Here is an 18482-nt window from a genome sequence, read left to right as displayed (position 1 = left end):
GTGTATATTGTTCTTTTTATTGTGTGCCTCAGATCTCTTAAGCTCTGTTCACTTTTTTCATTATTTCATTTTTTTCTGTTCCTCAGAATTAATCATTTCAATTCTCCTCTTTTAATGTTTGCTATGTTTTTTTCTGCCTGCTTAAATTCACTGTACAAGCTTTCTAGTAAATTTTTCTTTTCATTTCTTTTATTGCAGCTCCAGTACTACTGCTTCATTTCTTTTTGTAATCTATTTCTTATCAACTCTCTCATTTTGCTCATGCACCATTTTTTTCTGATTTGTTTCTATGTTTTGTCTATGGTTTCTTTGAGCTCTTTGAGAATATATAAGACAACTGCTTTAAAATATTTGTCTAGTAAGTCCCATGTCAGTATTTTCTTAGGAATGCTTTCTATCAATTTATTATTTTTTCTTTTAATGGGCCATGCTTTCCTCTTTCTTTTCATCCCTTGTGATTTTTATTTTTGTTTACATCTGAGTATTTGAAGATTATAATGCCCAAATATTGGAAATAAGGTTTTTCCACTTCTCTGGGATTTCTGGCTTAGGGATTTTTGATTTATATCTCTTGTGTTGCTTTTGATTATTGAAAGCTGTATTCATCCGTTTATTTTGGGAGTTTCCAAAATTATTTTTTTCTGAAGACTGTATTTCTTATTATGTGTGGACATTAAAGTCTCTGTTACTTAACTTCTGGTCATGTGTGGACATTTCTTATCATGTGTGGACAGTAAAGTCTCTGTTACTTAACTTCCAGTGCTTTGACAGAGATTTCTTCAAACACTGGGTACTAAAAATAATAAAACAAACAAACAAAAACCTTTATTCAGTCTTTGCAGATTCTCTGTCTTGGGCACTCATTCAACACTGAGGTTAGGGATCGGCCTGATGTGAAAGCTTAGGATCCTCCAAGGTCTTTACTGAGAATGCCTCTTGCTGTGAGCATGCTTGTGGGCTTCCAAATTTCCCCATTTAGAGAGATGGTTTTGAATGTTTTAATTTCCCACAGAAATTTTTTCCAGCTCTTGCTCATGGGCTTTAAGCAGTCAAAACATACAATAATCTTTTGTCTCATGTATCTGTGGGTTTTCATTTGACTTACAAAATTTTCAAATGATTCTCACCTCTCTTCTGGCCTGAGTTCTTTTGGGACACTGCTTATGAATTTCATAGGAGAGTAAATTAATATTACTTCAATTTTGTTCTGTTTATCCACTGCTGTATACCAACTGGTATGTAATTAGGCTGGTGTCCTACTAACATAATCTTTAATTTCCTTGAAATATGCTGATGGACTATAGAACATCTGTGAATTGTGTATTTGACCCAAGAGTTTGACTGTTTTCTGACATTTATCATGTCTGATATCTTCTATTGGCCTCTCGAGAGCCATCCTTCACTTGGATCTCTGAGCTTAGATTGTATAAACCACATTAAAGGACACCCAGGTACTCAGGGTCCTGGCTGGATTTAGTTAACAGGGAGATGCTTGAAAAGATCTGTGAAAGAAGAAATTTGAATATTTATCCCCTTGCTTCCTTACTTTGAAGTTTTCTATGTCCCTCAACCAAATGAACCTGCTCTTTTTAAGGAAACTCTTTCAACAGGAAATTTACTTTTGAGGTTCCAAAAATGTTCTCTTCCTAAATTCATAACAAAGGGACTAGGGCTGAAAATGACATGATTCCTACCAGTCTGAGAATCCCAGGACGTCTCATGTAGTTCCTCTATATCTTATTTACTTTATATTTAGTTCTTTTATTAAGCCTTCCATCAATTATCCTAATTTTAACGGCAGTCTGTTTCCAGCTGGGACTCTGACTAATAAAAACACTAAATAGAAGTCTTTGAAATTTACTATTTTAATTATCCATAAAAAGAGCTCCAGGAATAAATACATCAAAAAGATAAATACCCAGCCTTCCTTTTAGGAGAACTCTACAAATTTGTATAAAAACAAAATAATGAAATGCATTTCAAACCTCACAATGACTATACATTTTCTCTCTTTAAATGCAGATGTATCTAATTAAACATTTACATTTATAGCTACAATGTCTTTATATTATATAGAACTGTATTCGCTGAGTTAAAAAGATATACTATAACCTGATAGCATATTAACTAATAAAATCATTGCATATTTCCAGTTGAATTGCATATAGAAACAATGATAATCTATTAGACAAGTAGAGATTCGAACATGCTAAATATTGATTCTAACATGAAATAAAAAGAAGGAAATGTTGTTTCCTTTTGTATTGTAGTTTTTAAGGTCACATAAGTTTACCTCGGTTTAATTAGAATTTGAAATCCAATTTCAGGGTAAAAATTGCAGGCTTAAAGTCATATTTGAAGAAATGATAAAATGAATGTTTGAGAAATCTCCTGAGAGAATTATTTTAAGACTATATAAAGTAGGATACAAAACTGTGTTATTGACAATTGCATAAGTAATGATATTCTATTTTAAAGGAACTAAGGATAAGTTGGCTGAGATCTAATAAATAATAGAAGTATCAGATACAGAGAAAGAATTAAAAAATCATAATGTGGAGTTAGTGTTTGAAAAATGAATTAAAAACATCATAGTTATCAAGCTTCTTGCTTATATAGGAGAATTGACTATTATATAACTTGAGAAAGATAGATGTTTAGTAAAGTTAAAAAAAAACAAACCAGCCTGGCCAACATGTTGAAACCCCGTGTCTACTAAAAATACAAAAATCAGCTGGGCATGATGATGTGCGCCTGTAGTCTCAGCTACTAGTGGGTCCTGAGGCAGGAGAATTGCTTGAACCGGGAAGGCGGAGGTTGCAGTGACCTGAGATTGTACCACTGCACTCCAGCCTGGGTGACAGAGCAAGACTCCGTCTCACAAAAAAAAAAAAAAAAAAAAAAGCACCTCTTCATATTTTCAAAATCCTTGTTACTGTGTATATTTTACATCACACATTGTAGACTTCTGGACTGGAAAACAAATGCTTAAATTTTCCTGAAAAAAAATAAGCATTGGTGGAAAAGTACTGAGATATTAAAGTTACAATTCACATCCTAAGTTATTCATCATGGTTCATGGTGTACTTGTAGCTACAGCTATTCAAAAGCAGCACATGTACCTCTCTTCTACAGTGGAAGGTTCCTTATGGAGAATACCTGACTTAATTATCTTTGCTTGGCTCAGTACTGAACACATGTGTTGCACAGTAGGCACTTAATAAATTGTAAAATTAAAACAACATGTGGCTGAAAAAGTATAAATCATCATGGAATAAGGATATCAAACCTATTATTTTTGGAATATTTACCTGCTCAATATTTCCCATTACTTGCTAGAAATAGAATTGGCCTACAGGTATGACAGGGAGAATAGTGAGTTTGAAATAATGAGGCATGCATGCCATGCTCCTCTAGGAGACTTTGGCCATAGGGTGACTGTTGGATCTGTACAGAGCAGGGCTGTCTTGCCTGTGAGATGAAGCCAGTCCAATCTGAGTGCCACCCTGTCTCCCGGGGCCCCAGCTGCTGGACCTGGTGCTTGCCTAAACAGGGTGCTTCCTCGGGCCCTCATCATAGCTCCTTCGCTGGCAGACTGCTCCTGCCTGAGAGCTCCAGCAGAGGGGCCCCTGCCCATGAGCATTAGTCCACTTGCACCTTCTTCCCACCATAGTCTTCCCTGCGCTACTTCGTTGGCACATACCCATGGCTACCCTCCCACCTCTTTGCTGCTGCCTATACGAGAAGACCCCAGCTCCCCTCCTCTGCTGGCACTCATGTGCAGGAGCAACCCACTGCTGTTCTCAGCGTGAGCGCAACCCACTGTCCTCTCCTCCCTTGCTAATGTGCAGGCACTCAGCCGTGTCGCCCATTGCCAGTGCAAATGTGCACACAACTGTCTGCGACCCAGTACACTCCTGTGCTGCCACCGCTGATGGTTCAAAATCACACCCTGACGCAGGCAGCACTACCCCCACCAGTGCCCTGTGCCCAGTGCTGATGGCACAGGTGTAAGCATGGACATCAGCAACCCCACCTTAGCCTGCACCCTGTTGCCAGAGCAAATTCACGCAGGAACACCTCAGTCCCATTTCCGCCAGTAACCTGCCCCAGTCAATACCATGCACCCCACCATGCCGTCAGGGCTCCTAGCACATACAATCAAGCACGGATCCCACTGGCACTGCCCCAACAAAGTCCTTGGGTGGCACAATCTATAATATCAGAGTGTTGGGGCCAGCAGAACTGGAACACCTCAGCCCCTCCAGTGCAGCAGATTTCTAACTTTGAAATACCAGAGAACAAAGTCATGGTCCTGGTAACAGCCCGGAGTTAGAGCATGCAAACCGAGAGTGCTGAGCTGAGCCTTGGCCCCCTAATATCTTACAGAAATACCAAAATTAAACCCCCAAGGGCATTATAGAAGATAAAAGAAAAAAGAAAAAAAGCCACCAAAAGGACAATAACTTCAGAGTGAAGGAACATCAGCCCACACAGATGAGAAAGAACCAGAGCAAAAGCTCTGGCAACTCAAAAAGCCTGAGTGTCTTCTTACCTAAAAACAATCACACTAGTTCCCCAGCAATCATTCTTAACCAGGCTGAAATGTCTGAAATGACAGAAATATAATTCAGAATATATATAGGAACAAAGATAACTGACATCCAGGAGAAAGTTAAAACCCAATCCAAGGAATCTCAGGAATACAATAAAATGATACAAGAGATAAAAGAAAGCTGGCCATTTAAAGAAAGAACCAAACTAATCTGATATAGCGGAAAAACTCACTTGAAGAATTTCATAATATAATCTCAAGTAGTAACAGCAGAATCAACCAAGCTAAGGAGAGAAAATCAGTTTGAATATAGGTTCTCTGAAGTAACTCAGTCAGACAAAAATAAAGAAAAAAACAATAAAGAAGAATGACTAAAACCTCCAAAAATATAGAATTATGTAAAAAGACCAAATCTATGACTTATTGTCATCCCTGAAAGAGAGGGAGAGAAAGCAAGCAATTTGGAAAACATATTTAAGGATATCTCATTGATAAATATGTCCCCAGCCTTACTAGAGAGACTAACATTCAAATTCAGAAAATGCAACAAACCCCTGAAAAATACTACACAAGACAACCATCCCCAAAGACATATCATCATCAGGTTCTCTGAAGTTGAAAAGGAATAAAATATGTTAAAGACAGCTAGAGTAAAGGGGCAGGTCACCTAAAAAGAGAACGGTACCAAGCTAACAGTGGATCTTTCAGCAGAAGCCCTACAAGCCAGAAGAGATTGGGAGCCTTTATTCACCATTCTTAAACAAAAGAAATTCCAATAAAGCATTTAATATCAAGCCAAACTAACCTTCATAAACTAATAAATAAGACCCTTCTCAGATAAGCAAATGCTATGGGATTTATTAGCAACAGACCTGCCTTACAAGAGGTCCTTAAAGGAGTGCTAGATATGAAAAGACAAGACCATTACCAGCCACCACAAAACATTCTTAAGTACATAGAAAATTGACAATATTAAGCAACCACACAATCAAGTCTGCAAAATAACCAGCTAACAAAATGATGACAGGATCAAATCCATACATATCGATATTAACATTGAATATAAACTAGCTAAATGCCCCATTTAAAAGACACAGAGTGGCAAAATGGATAAAGAAGCAAGACCCAACTGTATGCTATCTTTAAGAGACCCATCTCACATGCAATGACACTCATAGGCTCAAAGTAAAGGGATAAAGAAAAATCTACCAAGCAAACAGAAAATACAAGAAATCAGGAATTGCTATTCTAAATTAGGACAAAACAGACTTTAAACCAACAACAATCAGAAAAGACAAAGAAAGGCATTACATATTGGCAAAGGGTATAATTCAACAAGAAGATCTAACTATCCTTATTATATATGCTTCCAACAAAGGAGCATCCAGATTTATAAAACAAGTTCTTAGAGATCTTATGTGGAGACTTAGACACCCATGCAATAATAATGGGAGACTTCAACACCTCAGTAACTGTATTAGACAGATCAACAAGGCTGAAAATGGATAAATATATTCGAGTCCTGAACTCAGCACTTCACAAAATGGGCCAAATACACATTTACAGAATTCCTCAACCAAAACAACAGAATATACATTCTTCTCATTGTCACATGGCATATACTCTAAAATTGACTATATAATCAACCATACAACAACCCTCAGCAAATTCAAAGACCTAAATCATAACACTTTCAAACCGTATCACAATAAAAACAGGAATCAGTACTAAGAAAATTGCTCAAAACCATACAATTACATGGAAATTAATTAACCTGCTCCAGAATGACTTTTGAGTAAACAATGAAATTAAGACAGAAATCAAGGAATCATTTGAAACTAATGAGAACAAAGATAAAACATACCAGAATCTCTGGGACACAGCAAAAACGGTGTTAAGAGGGAAGTTTACAATACTAAACACCCATATTAAAAAGTTAGAAATATCTCAAATTAACAACGTGACATCACCCCTAGAGGAACTAGAGAAACAAGAGAAAAACAAGCCCAAAGCTAGCAGAAGACAAGAAATAACTAAAATCAGAACTGACTTGAAGGAAATTGAGATGCAAAAAAAAATTCAAAAGATTAATAAATCCAGGAGATGGTTATTTAAAATAATATATATGATTGATAGATTGTTAGCTAGACTAATAAAGAAATAAAGAGAGAAAAGATCCAAATAAACACAACCAGTAATGACAAAATGAGTATTACCACCAACCCTTTAGAAATAACAATTTTAAAAGCCCTCAGAGACTGCTATTAACACATCTATGCACACGAACAAGAAAATCTAGAAGAAATGGATAAATTCCTGGATGTATACAACCTCCCAAGATTGAACTAGGAAGAAATTGAATCCCTGAACAGACCAATAATGAGTTATGAAATCAAATCAGTAATAAAAAGCCTACCGACCATAATAAGCCCAGGACTACAGGGATTCACAGTGGAATTCTACCAAATATATAAAGAAGAGCTGGTACTATTCCTACTGAAATAATTCCAAAGAAAATGAGGAGGAAGGACTTCTTCCTAACTCGTTTTATGAGGCCAGCATCATCCTTATAACAAAACCTGGTAGAAAAACAGCAACAAAAAAGAAAAGTTCAGGACAATCTGCTTGATGAACTTAAGTACAAAAATCATCAAAAAATACTAGCAAACTGAATTCAGCAGCACATCAAAAAACTTATCCACTACGATCAAGTAAGTGTTAGCCCTAGGATGCAAGTTTGCTTCAATATACACAAATCAGTAACTTTGATTCATCACATAAATTCATCACAAAAACAGAAACCACATGATTATGTCAATAGATGCAGAAAAAATTTAAATAAAATTCAACATCCCTTCATGATAAAAAAAACCCTTAAAAATTAGGCATTGATGAAACATACCTTAAAATAATAAGGGATATCTATGAAAAACCCACAGCCAACATCATACCGAATGGGCAAAAGCTGGAAGCCTTCCCCTTGACAACTGGAACAAGAAAAGGATGTCTACTCTCACCACTCCTATTCAACATACTACTGGAAGTCCTAGCCAGAACAATCAGACAAGAGAAAGAAATAAAGGGCATCCAAATAGGAACAGAGGAAGTAAAGCTACCCCTGTTTGTAGACGACATACATGATTGTCTGCCTAGAAATCCCATAGTATCTGCCCAAATACTCCTAGTTCTGATAAACAACTTCAGCAAAATTTCAGGATACAAAATCAATGTGCAAAAATCAGTAGTATTCCTATACACCAACAACATTCAAGTTGATAGCCAAATCAGGCATGCAATCACAATCACAATTGCCCCAAAATAAATAAAATACCTAGAAAACAGCTAACCAGGAAGGTGAAAGATCTCTGCAAAGAGAATTACAAAATATTGCTCAAAGAAATCATAGATGACACAAACAAATGGATAAACATTCCATGCTCATGGATAGCAAGAATTAATATTGTTAAAATGGCCATACTGCCCAAAGCAATATGCAGATTCAATGCTATTCCTATCAAACTAACAATGACATTCTTCACAGAACTAGAAAAACTGTTTTTAAAATTCACATGGAACTGAAAAAGAGCTCAAATAGCCAGGGCAAACCTAAGCAAGAAAGAACAAAGCTGGAGGCTTCACATTACCTCCCCCTCAACCCTTTTTTTTTTTTCCTGTGCCCCAGGCTGGAGTGCAGTAGTGAGATCTAGGCTCACTGCAACCTCGGCCTCCCGGGTGCAAGCAATTCTCATGCTTCAGCCTCCAGAGTAGCTAGGATTACAGGCATACACCATCACACTCAACTAATTTTTGTATTTTTAGTAGAGAAGGGGTTCCATCATGTTGTCCAGGCTGGTCTCCAGTGATCCATGTGCCCTGGCCTCTCGAAGTGCTGGGATTACAGGCTTGAGTCAAGGCACCCAGTCCCCATCTTCAAATTATACTGCAAGGCTACAGTAGCCAAACAGCATGGTATTGATACAAAAACAGACACATTTACCATTGGAACAGAATAGAGAGCCCAGAACTAATGCCACACACCTGCAATAATCTGATCTTCAACAAAATCAACAGCAACAAAAAGCAATGGGAAAATGACTCCATATTCAATAAATTGTTCTGGGACAACTGGCTAGCCATATGCAGAAGACTGATACTGGACCAACCCCTTCCTTACAATATACATATATATATATATATATATATATATATATATATATATATATATATAAACTCAACATGGATTAATGACTTAAATGTAAAACCAAAAATTATAAAAACCCTGGAAGATAACCTAGGAAATGCCTAGGTTATTCTGGACAGAGGGCCTGGCAAAATACTTCATGAGGAAGATGCCAAAAGCAATTGCAACAAAAACAAAAATTGACAAGTGGGGCCTAATTAAACTAAGGAGCTTCTGCACAACAAAAGAAAGTATTAACAGAGTAAACAGACAATCCACAGAATGGGATAAAATATTTGCAAACTATGAATGCAACGAAGTCTAATATCTAATTTGTATAATGAGTTCAAGCAAATTAACAAGCAATAAACAAACAACCCAATTAAAAAGTAGGCAAAGGACATGCATAGACACTTTTCAAAAGAAGACATACACGTAGCCAACAAGCATATGAAAAAATGCTCAACATCACAAATCACTAGAGAAATGCATATCAAAACCACAGTGAGATGCCATCTCACACCAGTCAGAATGGATATTATTAAAATACCAAAATATAAGAAATGCTGGTGAGATTGCAGAGAAAAGGGAACACTTATATATACACTGCTGGTGGTAATGTAAATTAGTTTAGCCATCGTGAAAAGTAGTGTGGTGATTTCTCAGAAAACTCAAAATATAATTACAATTTGACCCAGCAACTGTCTTGGGGTATATCCCCAAAGGAATATAAATCATTCTTCCATTAATAATATGTACATGTATGTTCATCATAGCACTATTCACAATAGCAATGACTTGGAATCAACCAAATGCTCATCAATGATGGACTGGATAAAGGAAATATGGTGCATATACACCATGGAATACTACACAGCCATAAAAAGGAATGCGATCCTGTCCTTTGCAGCAACATGGATGGAGCTGGAGGCCATTATCCTACATGAACTAACACAGGAACAAAAAATCAAATACCAAATGTTCTCACAAGTGGGAGCTAAGCATTGAATACACATAGACACAAAGAAGAAAACACCAAGGCCTACTTGAGGCCTACTTGAGGGTGGTAGATGGGAGGAAAGAGAGGATCAAAAAACCTATTGGGTACTATGGTTATTACCTGTGTGACAAATAATCTGTACACCAAACCCCCATGACACACAATTTACCAGTATGACAAATCTGCTCATGTACCCCTGAACCTAAAATAAAAGTTAAAAAATAAAATAAAACTTAAAAAATACATATATTTTTAAACGTAAAACTTACATCCTCTAAACCTATTTTTATTTTATTCACCACTACTTTAAATAAGTACCCCTTATTTCAAAGCTACCACTTAATATTCAAAGTTAAAAGGAGAGAAAAGCAATTATTACATATTCTATACATTAAGCTACTATGTATTCTTCATCTTTGCCTTCTACAGCAGATGAGAACAATGGCTGTATTTCAGAACTTAGAGTCTAACCACAGCTGGAACTCCCATTGTCCTTACCACTAGAAAGCAGGTTTCTCTCTCTGAGGAAACTTGCCATCTCTGAGAAAAATAACAGAATGGGTTTTGGGGGATGCTCAAGGGTCAATATTTATTTGAAACTTTTTGAATAATTATGCATTATTTATTTTACATAAATAAATAAATATATATGTGTTTGGAGAAACAGATAATAAACCATTGTTTTATCCTCTTCATACCTCTTTGCATTATATTAGAAAACTAAGAATCTCAGACTATTGTGGAAAAGCCTTAAACCATTACTTTCTTCGTATTCTTGAGTAAAAATAGTCTTTAAATTCCTAAGCCTGTTATTAACATATTTTGATTAATATATTAAATGTAACATTTTTGGAGGAGATTTTTCTCTGACTAAGCAATATAAATGACTTTTCTTCAAACACAAAGAATGGCTTCAAAAAGTGATGAAGTACTTCTACAGTGAACATGGACTTCCTGCTGAAGAACCCTTTGCCTTTCTCCCTCTGTGTGTGTCACTGAGCAATTTTAAACCAGATACAATCTAGTTCATATAACAACACCACACTGAGTTCAAAGACCTATCTAGGGTAGGTGAAATTCAAGTCCCAACACCTAATAAGAGGATAGGATATCAAGTTAGCAGGTGAACTGTAGCCAAAGAGTTAATTGTCTGGGCAGTGGCAGAATTGATCTTGTATTATTGAAACAGTCTACAGAATACAGGAAGGGCACAAGGAACAGCACACAAGTTCACTTGTTAGAAAAATAATTCTTTTATAGTTTGGGCAATTTAAACTATTTCGTAATGGGAAATCTTTTTTTAAGTATAGGTATCATAGAATACTTTCAGATGTTCACTGGCATCTTCAGAACTCTTTAAAACTGCTTTAGGTTCACTAGATGCAAAGTGGATAAATCAGTACACGGAGCGCATGGGTCAAAATACATTTCTTGAACCATAAAAAATGGGATTTTAACCAAAAGCATTAAACATCACAGGCCTTTTTTATTCTAGCACCACAGAGTGATTCAACAGCTATATAACCATATTATACAATATCTTAGGAGAACTAGTTTGATGATGTTTTATTCTCATGTTTCCAAAATAGAGCCATGCTAGTTTACAGTGCTATAAGCTTTCTTATAAATATAGACAAAAATTACCAGGCCATGAATTTGTTTTGTTAATCAAGTTCAGCCTAAAGCTGCTTCCTTACATGTTTAAATTCAGCCTAAAGGTTTTTCTGTACATTGTGAACTATAACAAGGGGAAGTATAAACCGACTGTGGCCCACGCTTGTATCAATCACTGAGTTTTAGCCAATTAAATGTAGCCAACCAAACAGTGTTCTAATAAGGTAAATGTCAAACTGTAACCAATCCAGGTGTTTCTGTACTTCACTTCCAATTCCTGCACGTCATTTCCCTTTTTTTGTCTATAAATCTTCTTCCACCATGCTGGAATCTCTTTGAATCTGCTGTGATTCAGAAAGCTGCCCGAATCGTGAATCGTTCATTGCTCAACTAAACTCCTTTAAATTTAGTTCGGCTGAAGTTTTTCTTTTAACAGCTTAATCACAGTGCTGTAGTCTCAGAATGTGAAAATGTGTAAAAGTAGATAATGGGTTTATTCACTATTAATATATACTATCATGAACATGAATTCCACTGGGATATTATCAAGTGGTTATTTTAAAGGGATTTTCTTCTATTTGCAAAAAAAAATTATGCTTTAAAATAACCAAACAAATGAGCCTGAATTTAACTTGCATATCAAAAGTTTCAGGCTTAATTCTCTTTAACCTGTGGAGGTTGTAAATTTAACTAAGCAATTTCTCTGCATGATTTTATTCTACTAAACTGACAGGTACCTTTTGTCGAACTGGTCAATACTCATATAACTTATCCAAAATTATGGCCTATAAATTTATCTATCTGCTGTTTACAGCTTTTTCAGGGAAAAAACAATTACAGCAGCAAATGTATTAGGAGCAGGTAGGATTGCTCCCTATAAGTTAATAGGGTTTTCTGGTGATTATGAACGCAGAGTGGAGCAGAGTACATGTAAATAAATATATTCGATATATTGAGATGCCATCTAGTTAGGTTTACTACGTATTTACTGAATATTATAATTAGTTTTACCCTTCTTAAATGTCACCAGTGCCTTGCGCACTCCACAAGTAGCCACAAGAGGGCTCCCCTGGGTGCTCAGGGCTTCTCAGACTCAGTGACTCATTCCACTCCCCCAAGTATCATGCTCTTCCAGTGGCTATAGATCATTTTCAGATGCTTAAGCTTAAAAAATACCCTTAACTTTAATTATTTATAAAATGCTAAAGTACTTAAAAAGAAGCTTCTAGTATTTGTTTTTCGTGGGGGGACTTACAGCTTCTTAATTTCCGTATCTACTAAACTGGTCTCCAGGCCACTTTTTTGTTTGTTTTTTGAGACAGAGTCTCGCTCTGTCGCCAAGTTGGAGTGCAGTGGCACGAACCCGGCTCAATGCAACCTCTGTCTCCCGGGTTCAAGCGATTCTCCTGCCTCAGCCTCCCGAGTAGCCTGGGGCTACAGGCACACGCCACCACGCCCAGCTAATTTTTGTATTTTTAGTACAGACGGGGTTTCACCATGTTGGCCAGGATGCTCTCGATCTCTGGACCTCGTGATCCGCCCGCCTCGGCCTCCCTAAGCGCTGGGATTATAGGCGTAAGCCACCGTGGCGGGCCCATTTTTGAATCTAGTACTTTGCCTCTTGGGATGGGTTCTGCTTAATGTTACTGTGGACACTCCAGGAAGACTGCTTGTTGCTAAAGCTTTTTCTGCAAGCCTCAAGATCTTCTTGGGGGAAAGACTCCAAAAAGCTTTGTTGACAACTTCATGGTGTAAAGTAAATCATCCTTAATTATCTAAACGGCTTCCCAGGTCTATGACGTCACTCATATTCATGACTGGGCAGCAACTTACCTAACGTTTCAGCGCCCTCCAGCCCGGTATCATAGCCTCTGTTGTTGCTGAGGTGCAGCCCCGAGCAGGGAGTGCTCAGTGGCCATGTGTCCAGAATTGGTGGGTTCTTGGTCTCACTGACTTCAAGAATGAAACCGCGCACCCTCGCCGTGAGTGTTATAGTTCTTAAAGGCGGCGTGTCCGGAGTTTGTTCCTTCTGCTGTTCAGATGTGTTCCGAGTTTCTTCCCTCTGGTGGGTTCATGGTCTCACTGGCTCAGGAGTGAAGCTGTGGACCTTCACGGTGAGTGTTACAGCTCTTCAGGCAGTGCGTCTAGAGTTGTTCGTTCCTCCCAGTGGGTTCGTGGTCCCGCTGGCTTCAGAAGTGAAGCTGCAGACCTTCGTGGTGAGTGTTACAGCTCATAAAGGCAGTGTGGACCCAAAGAGTGAGCAGCAGCAAGATTTATTGCAAAGAGCTAAAGAACAAAGCCGCCAAAGTGCAGGAAGCGACGCAAGCAGGTTGCTGCTGGGGGTTCCGGCAGCCTGCTTTTATTCTCTTATCTGGCACCACCCACATCCTGCTGATTGGTCCATTTTACAGAGATCCGATTAGTCTGTTTTACAGAGAGCTGATTGGTCCGTTTTGACAGGGTGCTGATTGGTGCCTTTCCAGTCCTTGACCTAGCCACAAAAGTTCTCCACATCCCCACTAGATTAGCTAGATACAGAGTGTGGACACAAAGGTTTTCCAAGTCCCCACCAGAGGAGCTAGATACAGAGTGTCGATTGGTGCATTCACAAACCCTGAGCTAGACACAGGATGCTGATTGGTGTGTTTACAAACCTTGAGCTAGATACAGAGTGCCGATTGGTGTATTTACAATCCCTTAGCTAGACATAAAGGTTCTCCAAGTCCCCACCAGAGTACAGTAGCTAGATACAGAGTGTGGATTGGTGCATTCACAAACCCTGAGCTAGACAACAGGGTGCTGATTGGTGTGTTTACAAACCTTGAGCTAAATAAAGAGTGCCCGACTGGTGTATTTACAATCCCTTAGCTAGACATAAAGGTTCTCCAAGTCCCCACCAGACTCAGGAGCCCAGTTGGCTTCACCCAGTGGATCCCTTACCGGGGCTGCAGGTGGAGCTGCCTGCCAGTCCAGCGCCGGTGCGCCCGCACTCCTCAGCCCTTGGGTGGTCGATGGGACTGGGCGCCACGGAGCAGGGGGCGGCGTTGGTGGGGGAGGCTCGGACCGTGCAGGAGCCCACGGCTCGGAGGGGGAGGCTCAGGCATGGCGGGATGCAGGTCCCGAACCCTGCCCAGCGGGGAGGTAGCTAAGGCCGGGCGAGAAGTGGAGCACAGCAGCTGCTGGCCCAGGTGCTTAGCCCCTCACTACCCGGGGCGGCTGGCCGGCCTGCGGCTCTGAGTGCGGACCCGCTAAGCCCACGCCCACCCGGAACTGGAGCTGGCCCGCAAGGACCGCGCGCAGCCCCGATTCCCGCCCGCGCCTCTCCCTCCACACCTCCCTGCAAGCTGAGGGAGCCGGCTCCGGCCTTGGCCTGCCCGGAAAGGGGCTCCCACAGTGCAGCGGCGGACTGAAGGGCTCCTCAAGCGCGGCCAGAGTGGGCGCCAAGGCGGAGGAGGCGCCAAGAGCGAGCTAGGGCTGTGAGGCCTGCCAGCACGCTGTCACCTCTCAGCCACACACACACAAACAGACTGTCTCAGCTCCTTCCCTCTCCCTTTGTGCTGTTTCTTTTGGTGGGAGCCAACCTGTCTCGAAGGGGCCAGGTAGCACCATCTGGAATTAGAGCACACGTGATGTTCCGTAGAACAATTTTGTTTAAAGGAATATGATAACTGGTAAATAAATGATATCTGTTTCTCACCTTTAGCCAACTGTCTGGAGATGCAGTTTTCCTTTGTCTCTCTGAAGACTTCCCGTGAGATCAAGCACCAGATAAGCTTGTTCCCTAGCTGTGACCAGTTCAATAATGCATGCCTTTAAGTATTTGCTCTGTTTCTTTCCTGATTTACTCAATAATTATCTTATCTCCAGCTTCGCTGGTCTTGTGCAAGCTAATAAATATTAACATCTAAGTTTTGGCATGGTCTGAAAAGTTTACCAAACAAGTTAGATGTCTTTTACTTTATCTGTGACTTAAGTATAGTTTATGTAATACATACTAATATATTATGTGAATAGTATAAAGTATACACAAAAACTGAAATTAAAGAGGACAAAACAAATATTATTATTATTTTTTTTTTTTTTAAGACAGAGTTTTGCTCTTGTCGCCCAGGCTGGAGTGCAGTGGTGTGATCTCGGCTCACTGCAATCTCTGCCTGCCCGGGTTCAAGTGATTCTCCTGCCTCAGACTCCCGAATAGCTGGGATCAAAGGCTTGAGCCACCACACCCAGCTAATTTTTGTGTTTTTAGCAGAGACAGGGTTTCGCCATGTTGCCTAGGCTGGTCTCGAACTCCTGACCTCAGGTGATCCACCTGCCTCTGCCTCCCAAAGTGCTGGGATTACAGGTGTGACCCACTGTACCTGGCCATAAATATTCTAATTTTAAAATAACATGTATTAATAGCATAAAACATTTTAATCTCACTGTGTTATTACTTATGGATCAATATTATTGGTAATATGTTTAGGAGAGCAATGTGATTGAATATACCTTATAATTAAACAAATGAACAAAAACCTTGGCTTAATTCTTGTGATTCTGTGATGTACAGAACTATATTTGTAAATGTTTAATGTATATTTAGTCAGTTTTAATATTGTAGCAAATGATAACATTCAATAGATACAAATTAAAATTGGTTAGCATACAGATTCAGTTGTTTTAAGAGAAATAGATGTTTAAGTAAAATAGATACTCTTCCCCTCTTAAGTAACTACCTGGCATAAACTGTCAATGACAGGAATGGCAGCTGTGTGGTATTGAAAACCAGGTCCTTTTCCCAAGTTATGCTCAAGGTTTGGCTTTCATATATCATGGTCTCAGATGTGTACTATAGTTCACAATATCACTTGTATATTTTGGCTAATGGAAAGGTGATAAGAGTGGAAGATATGGACAATTTTTCTTATAGGCATAATTGAGAGTCATACATGTACCTTTCTCTCATATCTTATTACCCGGAACTTAAGTCATAATACTTTACCTAGATACAAGGGAGATTTGAAATTGCAGACTTAGCAAAGATGGAGATAACATATGCCTAGCTAAAATGTGTGGATCCTTTTAATAATGGCAGAAATAGAGAATGATGTAAAGAAACAACTAACTACCTCTGCCATAGTCTATACTAAATACCGATATATGTATATATGCACACCCCCACAAGAAAGTCCAGCCCAGGTCCTATCCAATTACTGTATCCAGCTCAGAGTTCAGGATCTCTGGGTCTTCTCCATCAGCTCTGAGTGTGGTTCTTGTGGTCTGATTACTTATAAAACAAAAAGAAAATAAGATGACTACAATGATTTGCTGTGCAGAAGCTTTTTGGTGTAAGACAGTCCCATTTGTCTATTGAAACGAATGGATAAAGAAAATGTGGTTATATACACAATGGAACAGTATTCAGTCATAAAAGAATGAAGTTGTGTCACATGCAGCAACATGAATGGAACTGGAGGTCATTATGTGAGGTGAAACAACCCAGGCACAGGAAGAAAAAAATCCCACCTTTTTACTCTTATGTGAGAACTACAATAGTTGCTCTCATAAACGTAGAATGTAGAATGATAATTACCAGAGGTGGGAAAGGGTGTGTGTGGCAGGGGTTGAGAGAGGTTGGTTAATGGGTACAAACATATAGTTAGAAGGAATAAGGTCTAATGTTCAATGGTAGAATAGGGTGACCATATTTAACAACAATGTATTTTATATTTTAAAATATATGGAGAGGACTTGAATATTCCTAACACATAGAAATAAAAAATACACGACGTGATAGCTATCCCAAATATCCTGACAATAATTACATTGCACATTCTATGCAGGTAAACAAATGTTACATGTACCCCATAAATATGTATCAATATTATGTATCAATATTTAAAACCAACAAAAATAATAATAAATCAACTATAAAACTTTACTGAAATATATGTAAAACCACAGATAAATTAGCAAATATTTTCAGTATGGGGAGACTTAACAATATACAGATATCCAATCTCTTCAAATTAATCCATGTTCACACAATCAAAAGCACAAAAGGGGCCAGGTGTGGTGGGTCACATCTGTAATCCTAGCACTTTGGGAGGCCGAGGCAGGAGGATTGCTTGAGATGAGGAGATGGAGACCAGTCTGGGAAACACAGTGAGACCTAATTTCCACAAAAATAAAAATGAAATAAAAATTTTAAGAAAAGCACAAAGGATTTCCATGGGCTTGTCCAATGACTTTAAAATTAATCTAGGCTGGGCGCAGTGGCTCATGCCTGTAATCCCAGCACTTTGGGAGGCCAAGGCAGGCAGATTACCTGAGGTCAGAAGTTCAAGACCAACCTGGCCACCATGGTGAAACCGTATCTCTACTAAAAATACAAAAATTAGCCAGGCATGTTGGCACACACCTATAATCCCAGGTACTTGGGAGGCTGAGGTAGGAGAATTGCTTGAGCCTGAGAGACAGAGGTTGCGGTGAGCCGAGATTGTGCCACTGTACTCTAGCCTGGCCAACAGAGCAAGACTCTGTCAAATTAATCTAGAAACAAAAATGTACAAGGATATCTGAAGAAATTTTTTAAATATAGAAATAAATACATTTATACCTATGTAACAAATCTGCACGTTCTACACATGAATCCCAGAACTTAAAGTAAAATTTAAAAAAAAAAAATTAGGCCAGGCACGGTGGCTCACGCCTGTAATCCCAGCACTTTGGGAGGCCAAGGCGGGCAGATCACGATGTCAGGAATTCAAGAACAGCCTGGTCAACATGGTGAAACCCTGTCTCTACTAAAAGTACAAAAATTAGCTGGGCATGGTGGCGGGTGCCTGTAATTCCAGCTACCAGGGAGCCTGAGGCGGGAGAATCATTTGAACCCTGGAGGCAGAGGTTGCAGTGAGCCAAGATCGCACCATTGCACTCCAGCTTGGCAACAGGGCGAGGCTCCTTCTCAAAAAACAAAACAAAACAAAACAAAACAAAACAAAAAAAGAAATAAACACATTTGCAGTTAAGGCTGGTCACAGATTGTACAGAGAAGGCTAAAGACTTAACAGAATAGATGTAAGTTGCAGAACATTAGGCTAACAAGAATGGGTGATTAATCAATTTTTTCCCTGACACATGGAAAATAA

The 18482-nt window shown here is 38.9% G+C and overlaps 2 long non-coding RNA genes across 2 annotated transcripts in view; one reads left to right on the top strand and one right to left on the bottom strand.

Annotated features, from left to right (window-relative positions):
* The window catches only part of LOC105375931 (uncharacterized), a 190238-nt gene extending 176864 nt beyond the window's left edge, over positions 1–13374 (bottom strand). The window contains exon 1 of the long non-coding RNA XR_929115.3: positions 13183–13374. This is a non-coding gene — a long non-coding RNA (uncharacterized LOC105375931). The remainder of the gene's footprint in view (positions 1–13182) is intronic.
* Positions 13375–13376: 2 nt separating this feature from the next.
* LOC124902064 (uncharacterized) lies at positions 13377–15257 on the top strand. The gene is made up of 2 exons (XR_007061178.1): positions 13377–13463; positions 15053–15257. It is a non-coding gene; the product is annotated as an uncharacterized LOC124902064 (long non-coding RNA).
* The last annotated feature ends 3225 nt before the right edge of the window (positions 15258–18482 follow it).

This window comes from Homo sapiens, chromosome 8 (assembly GCF_000001405.40).
Source record: "Homo sapiens chromosome 8, GRCh38.p14 Primary Assembly".
Classification (NCBI taxonomy): domain Eukaryota; kingdom Metazoa; phylum Chordata; class Mammalia; order Primates; family Hominidae; genus Homo; species Homo sapiens.
Note: the sequence above shows the minus strand (reverse complement) of the source record. Positions and strands in the feature narration are given on the sequence as shown.